Source organism: Homo sapiens, chromosome 16 (assembly GCF_000001405.40).
Source record: "Homo sapiens chromosome 16, GRCh38.p14 Primary Assembly".
Lineage (NCBI taxonomy): Eukaryota > Metazoa > Chordata > Mammalia > Primates > Hominidae > Homo > Homo sapiens.
This window is the reverse complement of record NC_000016.10, coordinates 48,733,993-48,749,693: the sequence shown is the minus strand read 5'-3', so window position 1 is coordinate 48,749,693 and position 15,701 is coordinate 48,733,993. Positions and strand designations below refer to the sequence as shown.

The 15,701-nt window shown below is 42.5% G+C and overlaps 1 long non-coding RNA gene across 1 annotated transcript in view; it reads right to left on the bottom strand.

Annotated features, from left to right (window-relative positions):
* Nucleotides 1–1,363: 1,363 nt before the first annotated feature.
* Nucleotides 1,364–15,701, bottom strand: part of LOC105371240 (uncharacterized) — a 124,894-nt gene continuing 110,556 nt past the window's right edge. The window contains exons 2-4 of the long non-coding RNA NR_188470.1: nucleotides 8,292–8,411; nucleotides 5,365–5,447; nucleotides 1,364–5,227 (exon numbers count right to left, since the gene is read on the bottom strand). This is a non-coding gene — a long non-coding RNA (uncharacterized LOC105371240). The remainder of the gene's footprint in view (nucleotides 5,228–5,364; nucleotides 5,448–8,291; nucleotides 8,412–15,701) is intronic.

Below are 15,701 nucleotides of genomic sequence, written 5' to 3'. Positions count from 1 at the left end.
TACTTCTTCAATTCTGTCTTTGATTAATTCTGAAAAACTGGACCATTATTCCTGAATATTGCCTCTTTCTCATTATCTATTCTCTTCTTCTGAAATTCCCATTACACTTCCTAATTCTATTGTTCACATCTCTTAACCTTTTTCATATTACTATATCTTAACCTCTCTGTGATGCACTCAATTTTCTCAGCTCTATTCAAACCACTCTTTATTGAGCTTTTTATTTCAAATAACATTTTTTTCTAGAAGTTCTATATGGATCTTCAAGCCTGCCTATTATCTTATCATAGTGTCTTTTTTATGTAAATTATTCCTGCTTTTATATCTTTAATCATTTTAATTCCTCCTACTTTAAAGTTTATTACGAATTTCTCCATTAACCTACATTCCTGGTATGTTCATTTTTTAATATTTATTTATCAGTCAAACGTTATATAAAACTTACTATGTCCCAGGTACTTAGAAATATTAATTATCTAATATTGTTGTGTCTGTTGGCTCTCTAATGTTGTTTTGTTTTTTGTGAGTTTTGTAATTTTGGGTTGTGGTTTCATCTTCAGTTGTGCTTAATCTGTGGAGCTCCTGTGGCATGGGAGTAATGGAAATGTTCCTCCACAAGAATTGTGTGTTTTTTTTGCCAGGAATCCAAGGAGTAACATTCACTTAAGAACAATTTGTATATTAATTCTGCAGTTTTGGTTTCATGGAGAACTGGGAAAGAACATATTTGAATTCTAATTTTCCATAAAGCACAGAATAAAGTTGTAAATTTTTCAAGAATAATTATTATTATCATTATTTGCCCAGAGCCAAAGCAAAGAAACACTTCCTTTTTTCTTCATGTTAACAGTTGTAATTTTTTTCTCTAGCACCCTCTCTATAGGTCAGCCCTTCAAGCATCCTAGCTCATGTAGAGTTTTCAGTTCCAACTCCCTGATTCATTTAAACTGAAGACTGCATCTCTTATCCTCTAATTTGACCAAAACCTTAATTACCCGGTGTAATAATACACCAAACCACTCATTCCACACTTCTTCCAGGGTAGCCACAGCATAAGCTCATATGCTTTTCCCTATGTTTTTCAGTTTCATTCCTTTTTCTGGCACCTGGTGATTTTCCTTTCTTTACTAAAGGATCCACCATGCATTTTGACTTGTTGCTATAGTTTGGGTAGCATTTCTAAGGACATATAGCTGGAGATTTTTTAGATGACCCTAGTTTGCCATCAGGATGGAATTAGAAGTTCTTAGAGGGTTTTAAGCAGGGGAAAGATATCATTTGATTTATGCTTTTAAAAATATTTCTGATGAATTTCAAAGAAGCTGACTGAAGTGAATTGAGACTACTAAGCTTATATCTGAAATCAGTGTGAAGAAAAGTCATGATTTATTAGAAATGTCAACCAAGACACAGAAAACAGAGTGACAGTATGCACATCACATATCCTCTAACCCTGATTGGTCTCTCATTTTTCACTTGGAGAAACTGAGACACAGAAATTCAGTGACTTGCCTATAGTCTCTCAGCTGGGATATGTATTCCCAAGGTATGCTTTTCAGTCATTTTATTCCACAGATTCTTCATTTTAATTGCATTATTGAGGTTGTATGGTTATAGTCTTGATTCAGATTCTCATTAATTAAACATTTCTAGGCACCGTAGACTTTGCTCAGTACTGACAACAGAAAGATTAATAAGAAATGGCCCCTGCCCTTCAGGAGCTCATATTCCAGCAAGCTTTGAATAACTAAAACAGAAAATAAGGGCTACAGCTACTGAATATACATGGTGGTCTGGAAAAAAACAGAGAAGCACTTGCTTGGGGAGGTCAGAAAGGTGAAATTTAATCTATGCAAAATCTATTCTAGTTTGTTTGGTCGTACATCTAGTCCAGGAGTAGAATAAGATAATGTTCTATTTATAACTTTGTATTCATTCATGTCATTCCATAAATATTTACTTAAATATTTGCTGAGTTCTCTCCTCACATCAGGCTCCTCATGGCTAAAGCCAAAGAAGGATGACTAGGGAAAAGGGCCACTCATGGGGGGCTACAGGGCAAGTTCTCACACGATTATAGGCACTAGGCAAAGCAAGGCTGATAATAAAAATATATATAAGGATTGGAAATTTTGATTCACAACTACATCAGACTCCCAGAATTCTTGTGCACTTCCTCCTTCCCCTAGTAAAGCCTTACTTGGGGTAAAATACCTGTATCTAACATTTATATCTCAATGTGAATTTAAATTTCAACATATAACTCTCTCAGATGTCATTGCAGTTTACATTTTATAATAAATGTGATATTTTTCATATACTTAAGATTTTTTATATTAGAGAAAGTATAGATATTTGGGGAAGAGTAAAGGCTTTATCATGTCACTGCTCTACCTCCCATGCTTGTGCCCAACACCCAGAACATAGTTAATGTATACTTACTGTTTGGTGCTTTAGATAACTCCTGGGCCCCTTTTTAAAATCCTCTCAATCCCACCTCTATCTCCAGTTACAACTGAAGAAACTGCTTCCACCTAGGTTTTGACCATCTCTATGCTGGTGCAATCAGATCACGGGTCTCACTCTAGGTCTGCACTGAGTATCTCTCATTTCCTGCCCAGAGGTATCTGCAGCTCAGGGCAACCACTTGAATCTGCTCTGTGCTCAGCATACATTACTTAGAAATGCAACCAAGTCATCCTTGACCAATGGGGACCTGGAGCCAATGGATAAATGTTTCCATCTTTGGTCCTTTGGACAAACAGTTCTCTAGTACTTTCCATAAATCTCCCCAAAAATTCCAAGCAGGACTTGTATCCATAGTGATAGTGGTAGTCCATATGGTAGTCCACAGCATAGTCCACATGAACAATTGTCCATAGTAGTAGACAACGTAATAATCCATGTTGCATTAGCTTTCCCTCCTTCCCTGATCACTCCCCTACCCTGTACTCTTGCTACCTAAGATCACATTCTCAGATAATCTTAAAAGGCAAGCCTTTGTCTCAGGCTCTGATTTCTGGGAAACTCAGGCTAAGACTGTTGGGTTTTGTTATTTATCCTGCCCTTAAAATCCTTCAAATAGGCCAAAAGTTGCAGTTGTATCAGTGACTAATCTAAAAGTTCAGCTGGAGTACCAAAATGTCACTGTCACTTTTTTCGAGATACAGCCACTTAAAATTAGCTGGTCAAAGAATTAGAACTGACCCCAGAGACAAACCTGTACTTGCTCTTCAGAAAAAGTTTAAAGGTTTTTTCAAGCCATTTCCAAGTCTAATTTTCCAAGCTTTCTGATTGCAGATGTGTCTGGCAGCAAGACTGCCTGTGTCATTTTGCTTTTTTTCTTTTTTTTTTTTTTGTCTTTTATTTTTGTTTTATCTAAAACATAGAGAAGTCAGCTCAGTGATACCATTTATCATGAAGCCAATATGAATAAAGCCACCCACATTACTATTAAGAGGGCCATACTTAGCTGGATATCAACCATCACCTCATAGAGACAGGTCCATGTTAACAGGGCCAGAAAGAAGATATATTGTGGGTTGTGGGTTCTCAGCTACCCACTCCATGGAGGCTCACAGCCTGGCTAGGTGATGATGGCCATTGAGCAGGGTGGAGGTGTGCTGCTTTCACTCATGCCTCCTCTACTTAATCAAATGGCCAACCCCTTGCATGTCACTGGTACCCTAACCCTAGTTAACACATCTAAGGAGGATTCACCATGTCACATCCAGCCTTTTCATAACATGGTTAGGCTTGTAGACTTCAGTTTGGTTGGCATTCTTCCAGAATCCTTGGAATCAAGAGTCAAGTTCTTGTGTAATTCTTCTGTGAAAGGCTACACAAAGTAGTAAAAGATGAGCAGTCCAAAATGTCTGCATTCCTGGGCCGGCTTGCCTGGGGTCAACTGGGCACCACCATCACTTTCTTCTAAGGCTGGAAGGTACATTTTCCAGAATCTCTTTTGCTGTATGGTTTCAGGTAAGTGTTTGCCAATGAATGGAATAGATGTGACTCGTGAATATCTTACATTCATAGCCCACAGAGTTCTGACCTATGCAGCAACGTCTGGCTCAGACTTCTTGGGCCAGGCACAGTGGCTCATGCCTGTAATCCCAGCAATTTAGGAGGCCAATGCAGGTGAATCGCTTGAGCCTAGGAGTTTGAGACTGGCCTAGGCAACATAGTAAAACCCTTCCTCCATTTTCTAAAAAAAAAACATAACCTAATATACACTGAGAGGGATGGAGGGCATTAAATGATTGCCACCATCTGGGGTTACTCACAAATATTCCTTGCTCCCCGGCCACCCACCATGGCCTGTTTCTTTTACTCTGAGTAGGTTTCTTAATTTGTGGGGGCTGCTACCAGAGCTTTTGACTTCTTCCTAGTTCAGGAGTCTCCCTATTGTGTTCCAGGGCTTTTAACATCAGTCCCAAGGCCCTATTCACCACTTCCTCCAGGAAACCTCCAGATCTTCATAGCAAGAGTTTCTGTTGGTTTGCCTACTTAGTCCAGAATTTCTGAAATGTAAATGCAGATTAGAATACACAATTTGTAAGACACAATCCTGTCCTTCAGGGATTTCAGCCCTAGATAAATGTGTGAGGTGATGGCTAGCCCAATTACTCTGATTTGTTCATCACACATTGTATGTAGGTATCAAAATATTACAGGTACCATCCAAATTGGTACAACTATTATTAATCAATTTAAAAAGAAAAATAAAAAGGAATTTTAACCCTTAAAAAGTTTAACAGTAAAGCAATAGACATCACCAGCAGGGTGGGATTCATTGTCAGAATCATTGTAAAGGCAGCCAGGGTTTTGACAGCTTAGAGGAAGGAGGGTGACTCTGGGCTGGGGTAACCATGTTGGTCTCTGGGATAAGGAAGAAAAGCTGCTTCAGGGCCTCTCTTCAGTGGCTTCTACTTCAGGCTGGTCCCATAGAAATTCCTCAGTAAGTATTTTCTGCAGGCACCAAATGTCTCCAGTGGAAATGTGCTCCTTGGAAAATTCAGTAGGTCAGTAGTTGTATGTTTTAGAACTTGCATTCATCTGCCAGTAACAGTGGCTTGTACAGCCTGGTGAGGTGGGCAGTCAAGGGTGAAGTCATCAGAGATCCAGGCTCCTGCCAACCCTCTTCTGCACAGTCCTTTGTACATGGTGTTCCTTCTCAAAGTTATCTCATGGTCTGGGATGACTGCTAGGGATCTAGACATCATGTCTGTGTCAATGTGAGGGAAGAAACAAAAGGAAAATGAGCCTAGTACATCTAGTTCAGGAGTAGAATAAGAAAATGGGCACAAAAGGCACATGCTATCCATACATTTACTTCTCAAGGGGTTTTCTTTCAAGTCTCACCTTACAGCATCTGTTTATATCTCATTGGCCACCTCTAGCTGCAAGGGAGGCAGGAAATGTAGTGTAGCTAGGCACATTGCCATCTGAAATAAAACCAAAGTTTCGTTACTAAGAAAGAAGGAGGAAATGCATATTTGACAGGCAGTCAGGAGTCTCTGCCACAGTGGTTAAGAGTGTGGGCTCTGGAAGCAAACCTGGGCTCAGGACCTGACTCTGCCACTGAGTAGCTGAGTGACTTTGGGCAAGTTACTTAACCTTCCAGAGCCCAGCTGACCCATCTGTAAGACAGGAAGAGAAGCAAAGCTGCCTCATGGGGTCACAGTAAGGATTACATGAGATGAGCACTTAGGGTGACCCACACAGCATTAGGCTTGTACTTAATGCCAGTGATCTCAGTACCTTTCACCATCTGGACTCAGCAGGTGACCTGCAATAGCTTTACTTTTTTCCTGGGACTGCCTTCACAGACACTCTGCTGAATCTCCCTTTACTATCCCTTATTGACCTCACCAGCTAATCTCACCACTTCCTTGTCAATCCAGTCTGGCTCAGTCCGATTCAGTCCAGTTCAAAACTTTAACCCATACCCTATGTAAGGTTGCTCCCTGCAATAGGCTGTCAGCGTCCCCTCTCCCCAGAATTTATGGTTCTAGGACATGCCATGAGCACCCAAGGGCCTGAGGACTTACTTTCACATACTAGGTACACCAGATGTGGGAATGGGTGGCAGCTGTAGGAGCAACCCTCAGTGACAGAAGGTGGTTGGAAGATAAATATCCAGTTGCCCTTGAGTGGACAACTCTCAGGTGGATTGAGCTACATGATCCATGGCAGTAACCTGCTAAACATGGCACCTTTCCCTGGCTTCCTTCCCTGACTGACTGGATTCCCACTTCCCTATCCACACTTCCTGGGATCGCCCCTCAGATAAACTCCTTACATTGGAATCCTTGACCTGAGTGGGCCTCTACAGGAACCCAACCTGAGGAACCTCCCTGTCCTCTTGCTCAGGCCTAACCAGTGCAGAAAGACAGAATAGGCCACTCTCCTTTCTCCCCACATTCCTCTTCTGGGCTCTAGCTTCTCTTGTAGACAAATAGGGAAAGAGATGCAGAGTCTTTTCTCCTAACTGAAGCTGCTGTAAGTCTTCTTTTCCCCCTCAATCCTCTCCATAGGCATCTGAATATTGTCATTCTTTAGGGTTTCATGGGGAGGAGTCAGGAAGCCACTGCACTGGTCTCTAACATGGACAATGCCCTCCAGCTGACCTCTCCCAACCCACTCTCAGATTCCTACCCCTGAGCTCCCACTCTTTAGTCTCTGGCTGGCAAGGCCCCTTACCTGCCAGGTGGTCTCCTTGGCTAAGTCCTGCTGCCAAGACCCAAGCCCACCTACATTCTGCAGCATCTCTGGGCCCATAGGAAGCATATGCTTGCCACACCGAATGGAGCAAAGTGCCTATACCATGACTACCTTCTCTCCCTCCCTGCTAGTGCGAACTGCTCCCACTGGCCTCCCACCTCCAGAGTTCTCTAGACAGAAGCTGGCTCCAGTCTCTCCATTGCTGTATATTCCCAAGCTCCTGAGGATACTGGCTGGGCTATCCAAGGATTCTTGCATTGGCAACTCCAGAAGGGACCACAGGTTTTATCAAATCAGCAAGTGCCATGTCGGGGAATGAGATGCCTGCCTCCCTTTCTTTATACAGAGTTTTTTTATGCCCTCTTGCAAGTACCAAGGGGGGAAGCCCACTATCAAAACAACACATAACCCCCACTAGACTGATGACTCATGGCTCCTACAAATTTCTTCGCATGGAGAAGGAGGGCAGGGTGGTGACGGCAGCAGAAGCATTTCTGTCACCTCTTAGTTTATCCTGGGGAATGAGTCTGGTGGCTCCCTTGCTGCTGTCTTTAGGCTGTGGAAGTTCTTAGTGCCTATTTTCCTGAGTGTAAGGCTTTAGCTAGAGTTCTGAGATAACAGGATAATGTCTCACAACTCTAGCTGTTGTGATGATTGTTATTGTTTCTTTCACAGCCATACCGAACATAGTTAAGGAGCTCCCCTTCCAGGCAGTCCTCCTAGCTTTTGCCCTTGTAGAAAAACAGTCACTTCCTTCTTACCTTAGTGGCTCTACACTCTAATTCCTGACATTCCCCAGAGTCTTGCTCAGCTTCCAATCCTGAGATTCCCAACCCTGGATGGCATTTGAAATTTTCTATAGCTTTTAGAGTCAGTCTGTCCAGAGGTGGAGTGTGTGTGTGTGTGTGTGTGTGTGTGTGTGTGTGTACATATTTATGTATGCAGATAATCTCTAGAATCTGCAATGGGAAGGGTACTAGGTGATTGAGGGATGGGATGTAAGATTCACATTAATAATAATAGCTACCATGTCTATTACAACTTACTATGAACCAAGCCCTATTCTAGGCACTTTATATACAATAATTTAATTCATTATTATAACAATTCTATGTGGTAGATGTTATCATTATGCTTATTTTACAGACTAGAAAGCTTTGTTTTCATTTTTACTTCACGCTTGTCTTATCTATTTAAGTAAATAATAAGATGATGAACGAATGTATAGGTGGACGGATGGATGGATAAGTAGACAGATTTAAGTTTCTCCAGGTGAACATAATTCACACCCCCAGTTGAAACCCTCTGCCCTGACTTTACCATCACCACCTCAACAAGTGCCAAGGCTTTCCAGAAGACTCATGCAAAAGGAACAGGAGGTATGAGAACCCCTTGGTGGTAAACTCTTCCCATGTGTGATTAAAGCTGAACTCCAGGAAACTTAGATGCTAATGAGGCCTGGACTGGCTGCTAGAATTAGCACATTATTGCCTCTATCTCAATAAATCACTGTCTCCCTGAGAAATGGCTCAGGGATGCTATCTGTGAGTCACTCTGTACAATACCTGAAGAGGAGATGGGGCCACAAAACAGGGCTTGAAGGTATCAGATAAGCTCACGTAGGTTTTAATGGGCCGCGGGAGTCGGGTAGGAGAAGGCCCTGGCTTCAGCTGTAACTTGGTTTCCTAACAGGAATGAGAAGAGAAAACACTTCTGCATCAAGGTGACTTCACTCAATTGCAGCTGAAAACGAATGAGATCATGTCAGTAAATGCCTTTGGGCTCTTCAAAGAAAGTGAAAAACCCACCAGTTCACTGTGAATCCCAAGCCTGCAGGTGCATGCAAACTTTCCCCCTCCCATCTAGCCTTCCTTGCAGAGCCACCCCCAGAACCAAATGCATGAAGTCAGCAGATCTCTCTTCTCGCCTGGAAATAACCATTACTCACCTGAGTTAATGGGTAAAGTGAGGCTTCCTTTACTTCAAGGGCCACTGGGAATAGCTACGCGACCTCCAGCAGATGCATTGATATTTCTGGGACTGTTTGTCCATGTCTCTCTCTTCATCTGTCAGCCCCACATTCCTCTGCTTTGATCTAGTTCTGAGCAAGCTCTTTCATTGAGGTGGTAAATGACTGCCTGAAGCACCAGGTCTCCATCCTAACCCCTACCCCTGAAATATCCTCATAGGGGAAAACCCTTCTCCCTTCTCGACTGTTTTCATAAAACTCCTTAGATGGCTTCTCATGGGCTGGCTTAGGTCATGCCTCCTAACATGAACCTATCCACAAATAGAACGAAAATATCTAATTAGAACAATAAGCCAATCGTAGAGCCAATCCTAGAGCCCGGGAAGCAGGGTCTGCCCCAGCTAAATCACAAGAGCCAAGGAGGGCAGGAGATGAGTCCCTTAAGGAAATGCAGTGTGGATGCTGAGAAGATCCCAGAAACAGATGTCCAATTCAGACTCATCTGACTCTGGTTCTGTAGGCTCAAAGTAAGATACAATTTATCTAATAAAAAGACCAGGGCAGGCTGACCCCAGGGGCTCTCATGAGTGAAGTGTAAAATCATAAAATGGTAGAGCTAAAAGAAACCTCAGTAATCTTCTCATCCCACCCCTCATCTTACTGGTGGGGAAGCTGAGCCCCAGGGAGCCCCCACAGGGAGCAGTGACAGAGCCGGGTCAGATTGCTACCCATGCCCCTGACTCCAGGCCCACAGGCCAGTGCTTGCACAGCCTGAGGGCAGAGGTGTGTGCCCTGCCCCCTGAATTCCCTGAGTGCATTTTTAAAAATTCTCTTAAAAACATGAGAGTCAATATCCTATTGTACTACAGTTCTGCAAAATACTGCACTGCGAGAAACTGGATAAAGGGCATATGAGATCACTCTATTATTTCTTACAAATGCATGTGGATCCACAATTATCTCAATATAATGTCAATTTAAGAACTGTGAGAGGAATTTCAAAATGACGTAAAATGGTATATCCAGTCAAGACAGTGTTGTGATTGGCTCACAAACCACTTCACTCGAGCCTCACTTGAAAACAAAATAAACATCTCCCTACAGAAGACCAGAAGTGAACCGGTTGGGTGATGGAGACCTCAAAAACCCTAATGGGGCCCAGCATGGTGGCTCACACCTGTAATCCCAGCACTTTGGGAGGCTGAGGCAGGTGGATCACTTAAGGTCATGAGTTCAAGACCAGCCTGGTCAACATGGTGAAACCCCACACCTACTAAAAATTTTAAAAAAGAAATAATTAGTTGGGCATGGTGGCACGTGCCTGTAATCCCAATTACTCAGGAGGCTGAGGCAGGAGAATAGTTTGAACCCAGGAGGCAGAGGTTGCTGTGAGCCAAATCACGCCACTGCACTCCAGCCTGGGTGACAGAGTGAGACTCTACCTAAATAAATAAATGAATGCCCTAATATGATCACTATGCAACCTATGCATGAAACAAAATTGCACATGTATGCCATGCATTTGTACAAATAAAAAAACTGAATAAATTTTTTTAAAAGTGTTTCAGACACAGCTATAAGGGATAGGATGAAGACGTTGTTAGAGCCATGGGTCTATTGTACTCTGCGTCTGGGTATGGGAGGTGACAGAGGTGTCTAGGAATGCAATCACCACATAACAACAGAAGGGTTTCAAACCAGCTCACGACATGAAATAGGGGCTGCATCAGACCCACTCATCCATGGTGGGTCACAATTCTACACTCATAAGGGCTGGTACAGATAACAAAATGCAGACAGAGTAGCTGGAGAAACAAGGGCAACCCACAGCCATCAGTTCAAAACAGGATATGTGATAACCAGGCAGTACAAGAGTTCAAAGCAGCCAATATAAGAGCTGGTTCTGAACTGTCCAACTTAGAGGAATGAACACAGAGAAGGAAAATGCACACGCTCACAATTCACTTTCCTTTCCTCTCATTCTCCACTATGTCCTGAGCCCTGGTTTCTGCTCTGCACCAAGTCGACGAAATTCATCCAAGACAGCCAGCATTTCTTCCCCTCAGAGGTTAAAGACAATGTAAAATTGTTTTCTCACTGCCTCTTCCTCTGAGAGATCCATTAGAAAAAGGTGTGTTAAAAGGTCCTTGGCATTTTCGAATGGTGATTTTTTTTTCTAGAAGTTAATTGCCACAACTCTTCCACCTCTGTGTGTGCAAAAGACCCAGAATGTTCATTATGAAGGGAAAGGCATGAGGAACCACCCTCCAGAGCCTCCCAGCCCCAATGCCTCCTTAGATATTTCCATCTCTAAGGATTTGCTCCATTTGTATTGTGTGTCTCAATTTCATTTGGCCATAAGGCATCCCTCTAAAGAACCAGGGCAAAAGTTTTTGTCCTCATCTGAAAAAATAAGCAAGCACAAGAACAGAGTGGACAAGAACTTTCCCTGAGATCACACAGCCAGTCAGAGCCCATATCAAGATTAGACTCCAGAGTCCTTTTCCCAGCATGCTTTCCCCTATTCCTCAAAGCCTCCTTTTGACATTTCAAATATAGAATATTAGGGAGAAAGCTAAAACCCACTTCCCTCGAATTCTAGCTAAAGTGAAGAAAACCTCAACCTGTCAGCATGACATAATTAGAGGATACTTTGGTTTCCCACTACTTAGCACAGCTCCAAGGCTCAGATAAAAAGTATGTTTAAAACAAAATTTCATGGACTATGAATTAGAAGTGACCTTGGGCATATTATGTAACTCCTTCATTTCTCAGATAGGAAAACTGAGGTACAGCAGGGAGAAGGGATTTGTTTTAGCCTGTAGCAGTGCCTAGGGCTCAAAACTGTAACACCCAGCATTTACTGAACCCTCACTCCATGCCAGGCACTAAGCTAGGCAGTCGACATCTTCACCCGATTTAATCTTCACAACAACCTTGTGCAGTGAGCACTTTTAATTTCATCCCCATCTTACAGATGAGGACGGAGAAGCTGGGAGACATCGGGTAACTTACCAAAGTCCACACAGCTGGTGAGTGGCTGCATCTAGAGTTGAGGCCCAACTGGGCTAACTTCCAAGGCTACTCTCAGGATTACATGATGCTCTCCTTACCCTTACCTGGCAATCAAATAGCTCCAGAAAGTGTATTGCATGAGACAGATTTCCCAGTGGCAGTGCCCTGGCTCTACCACTTCCCACCCAGATAGCATTTAGCTACTTAATCACTCCTAAATGCAGTGTCTTCAACTGTGAAATGGGTATTATAACAGCAGCCATTTTGCAGTTATTGTAAGGACTGAGAGAACCTGTACAGATCATCCGGCCCAGTTCTTGGCCGTAGTAGGTACTATGTTGTTTGTTTTCTTATTTCCTGATTTAAGGGAAAAAAAAGAAAAAGAAAAAGTGTGTGTGTGTGTGTGTGTGTGTATGCATACATAGACATATCCTGCATACAGTAACCATTCTCCAAGATGACCCCCAATAATCCTTACCCCCTGATGTTCACATCCTTGTGTATTCCTCTTCCGACCTGTACTAGAGTCTGTGTGACCCACAGAACACAGCAGAAGTGAAGTATTTTATTTCCAAGATCAGGTTATAAAACACTGTGACTTTGTCTTGATTGTTCTTTTGACCTACCTTTTGATCACTTGAGGATGCCTGCAGCCATGTTGTGAATGACTCTATGGAGAGGACCACATGGCATGGAACTGAGGCCCTCTGGCTGAAACCCTGCAAGGAACTGACTGACACCCTCCAACAATCACAACCGTGGGCTTTGGAAGGATACTCCAACCCCAGTCAAGCCTTCAGGTAACTGCAGCCCTTGCCAAAAGCTTGACCGAAGCCACTCCTGAATTCCTGACCCTCAGAAACTGTGGGAAATAATAGCCATTTGTTGTTTGCAGTAGCTGAGCTTTGGAGTTACTTGCTATACTGAAACAGACAACTAACATAGCCTCACTTTATTTGGTGGAAATGGGACAGAGTGGAGGGTTGTGATGGTAGATCTTTTGGAGTATTGGGTTGAGCCTCAAGTTGCAGTCCTGGCCACATTTCTCTAGCCTGATTAAGATTTGCCCCACTTAACCTTCCATCTACATCTTCTGCTTGGCCTGCTTCACTGGATTTCTGCATTTAGAAGCTGCTTTGAATTGTCTTTAAACAGAATCGTGTTCCAAGCCATCAAGCAACAAAAAAAAAAAGGTGTTTGCTGTGGGGGAAAATAAAAGGGTTCTTTTCATTTACATGTCAACTGAGGAGAACAACATGAAAGCATTTTGCAAGCTTTCTTGAATTTGGGCTTGTATTTTGATTTTCTTTAAGTGCAAATCAGCATCCAAGCTCAAACCTTGGGGTGGCAGAAAAATTTAATTAGAATGTGGGGTGTTTCACATAAATTTGTTTCTTCCTGCTATTTTCTTAAGGTTGACAGGATCACCCATCTGCTTAAAATATAATTGAGTAGGGAAGTGAGAAGAAAATAAAATACCTAGTCTGAAAACTTAATTCCAAACCAGAGGCCTGGGGGTAGCTGCTGACACTGACTTTGAGACTTTGAAAAAGGGGGTCTTTGTAGGCCAAAACTGGACTGTGTGTTAGAAGATTATATCATCAGCTTCCAGCCTGTGGTAACCATGAAGGATATTTGCAAATATTGTGGTTTTTCTCCTTCTGGGTACAGAGTAGGATTACAATTGCAATTCTCTCTCCCCTTTTAAGTTAGACAAGGCCATGTAACTTTCTCTAGCCAAAAAGATGTAAGCAGAGATGATATGTGTCACTTTAAGACCCAGTGCACACCATGCCTTTTCCTCTGCCACAGAGATCATGAAAGCATCTGTTGAGATGAAACCACCTGACCTCTGAAGACAAGAGAATTGCAGCTATCCCACACTAACCATATAAGAGGAGCAATAAATACATTTTTGTTAAAGTAAGCCCATGAGATGTTGGGGTGAGGTATTTGTTACACAGCATAATCCAGCTTAGTTGACAGATACAAATATTTACAAACGAAGTCCACAACTTGTTCTAGCTTTACTCATTCAGTGAACATTTGCCAAGGCCCAACTCTATACCAAACATCTTGCTAGATCCTAGAGGCAGCACCTAGAACAGCATCAGGCCCCAGTATTTGTGCCAAAAAAAAGTTGAATAAATAAATAATCATATTAATTACTATTATCAGCATAATGCTTGGTGTATGGTAAGTGTCCAATAAATGCTATATCTGTCTGATTCTTCCAATTGCTCTAAAACATAATACTACCACAATATTCATCCTTACATATAAGAAAAATAGAGGCCAGGCATGGGGACTCATGCCTATAATCCCAGCACTTTGGGAGGCCGAGGCGGACGGATCACTTGAGGTCAGAAGTTCAAGACCAACCTGACCAACACGGTGAAATCCCATCTCTACTAAAAATACAAATATTAGCCAGGCATGGTGGTGTGTGCCTGTAATCCCAGCTACTCAGGAGGCTGAGGCAGGAGAATCTCCTGAACCCGGGAGATGGAGGTTGCAGTGAGCCAAGAAGTTGCCACTGCACTCCATCTTAGGCAACAGCACAAGATTCCATCTCAAAAAAAAGAAAAAAAAAAACAAAAAGAAAAGAAAGAAAGAGATAAAGAGGAAAGAAAGAAAAAGAAGAAAGAAAGAAAGAAGAGAAAGAAAGAGATAAAGAAAGAAGAAAGAAAGAAAAATAGTTTAAAGAGTTTAAGTCACTCACTGTAAATTACATAATCAATAAGTCACACAGCCAACCTAAACTATAAATCCATAGTTTGTGCCCTTAACCATTTTGTTACACTGTTTCTAAACAAGTAAATGAATAAATGAGAATAAAGATAAGTGTCTGTCCCTGAAGGTTTTACAATATAGTAGGTGACTGACATGCAGAAACAATTACAATTCAAAGTAATCTGAGCTGGAGGAACTGGAAAGGTGTTACATCCAGGGTAACAAATGAGCTGGATATCAAAGATGGAGAAGTTCAGACAAGCTAATAGACAAGGAGAGGGGATTCCTAGCTAAGAAGGTGGCATATTCAAGGGCATGATGGGCAGTGCCACACCACCAGGAAATGGGCCACATCACAGGAATGAGAAATCCCTTGTAATTTCTTACACCATATAACTGGGCCAAGAAAGTCCTCCATTACAATAAAGTAGCCAGGAGTGGGAGGAGAAAGGCAGGCACCTTGGGGGCCACATGCCATTCAAGGCTAGTATTTATTCTACAAATCTTAATTAAGTCTATTTACCAAGTCTAGCTCTGTACTGGCCCTGGGGCTATAGTGATGACTAGTAGGGCATTGCAGGCTTGTGCTACAAGCTTCACAGGCCAGTCTGCCTCAAATAGAAGCTGCACAGGCAGCCAAGGCTGAAGAAGAAATCCTAGCCATATGACTGATCTTTAGGAAGATTTTGAACTAGTGGCCAAATCACTGGGGCAGAAATCCATCCTCTTCTCAGCCAGTCTTTGTCCTGGTGGGCAGCCAACCATGTCAAGTTGTTTAACTGGACCTCAGGGTGTCCAAGAGAGGCTGAGTCAGCAGATGCTTTATCTGAAGACATCCTCACTGCCCTTATTTTTCCTGGTCCCTGAGTGCTTTCACCATTATTGCACCAGTGTCAGAAGCTGGAAAAAAAATCCTGGTAGCATAATTATATGAGCAGTGGTGTTTAAGGGCTGGCTGAAAAGGCTTCAGAGGCTTGTAAGAGGATCAAGTTTCCATGAAGCTTGTGTCTGCTTGGCTCTGCTTCAAAGGCCACTAAATTCCTGCCAGAATTAAGGAGAGAGATTCCTCAAAATCTTTTTCACTCAAGGTGTGCCAGGATTAGGCAAAGATTAGGTCCATCATGCACAATCTGTGTTACTATGCCTCTTTCTCTTCCTGAGATCAAGCTGGCTCAGGGATGTTCTGCTTGGCCGCAGAGGGATGGACAAAGTGGGCCTAAAATCTGCATCAGTAACACTAAAAGGTAAACTTTTCAGA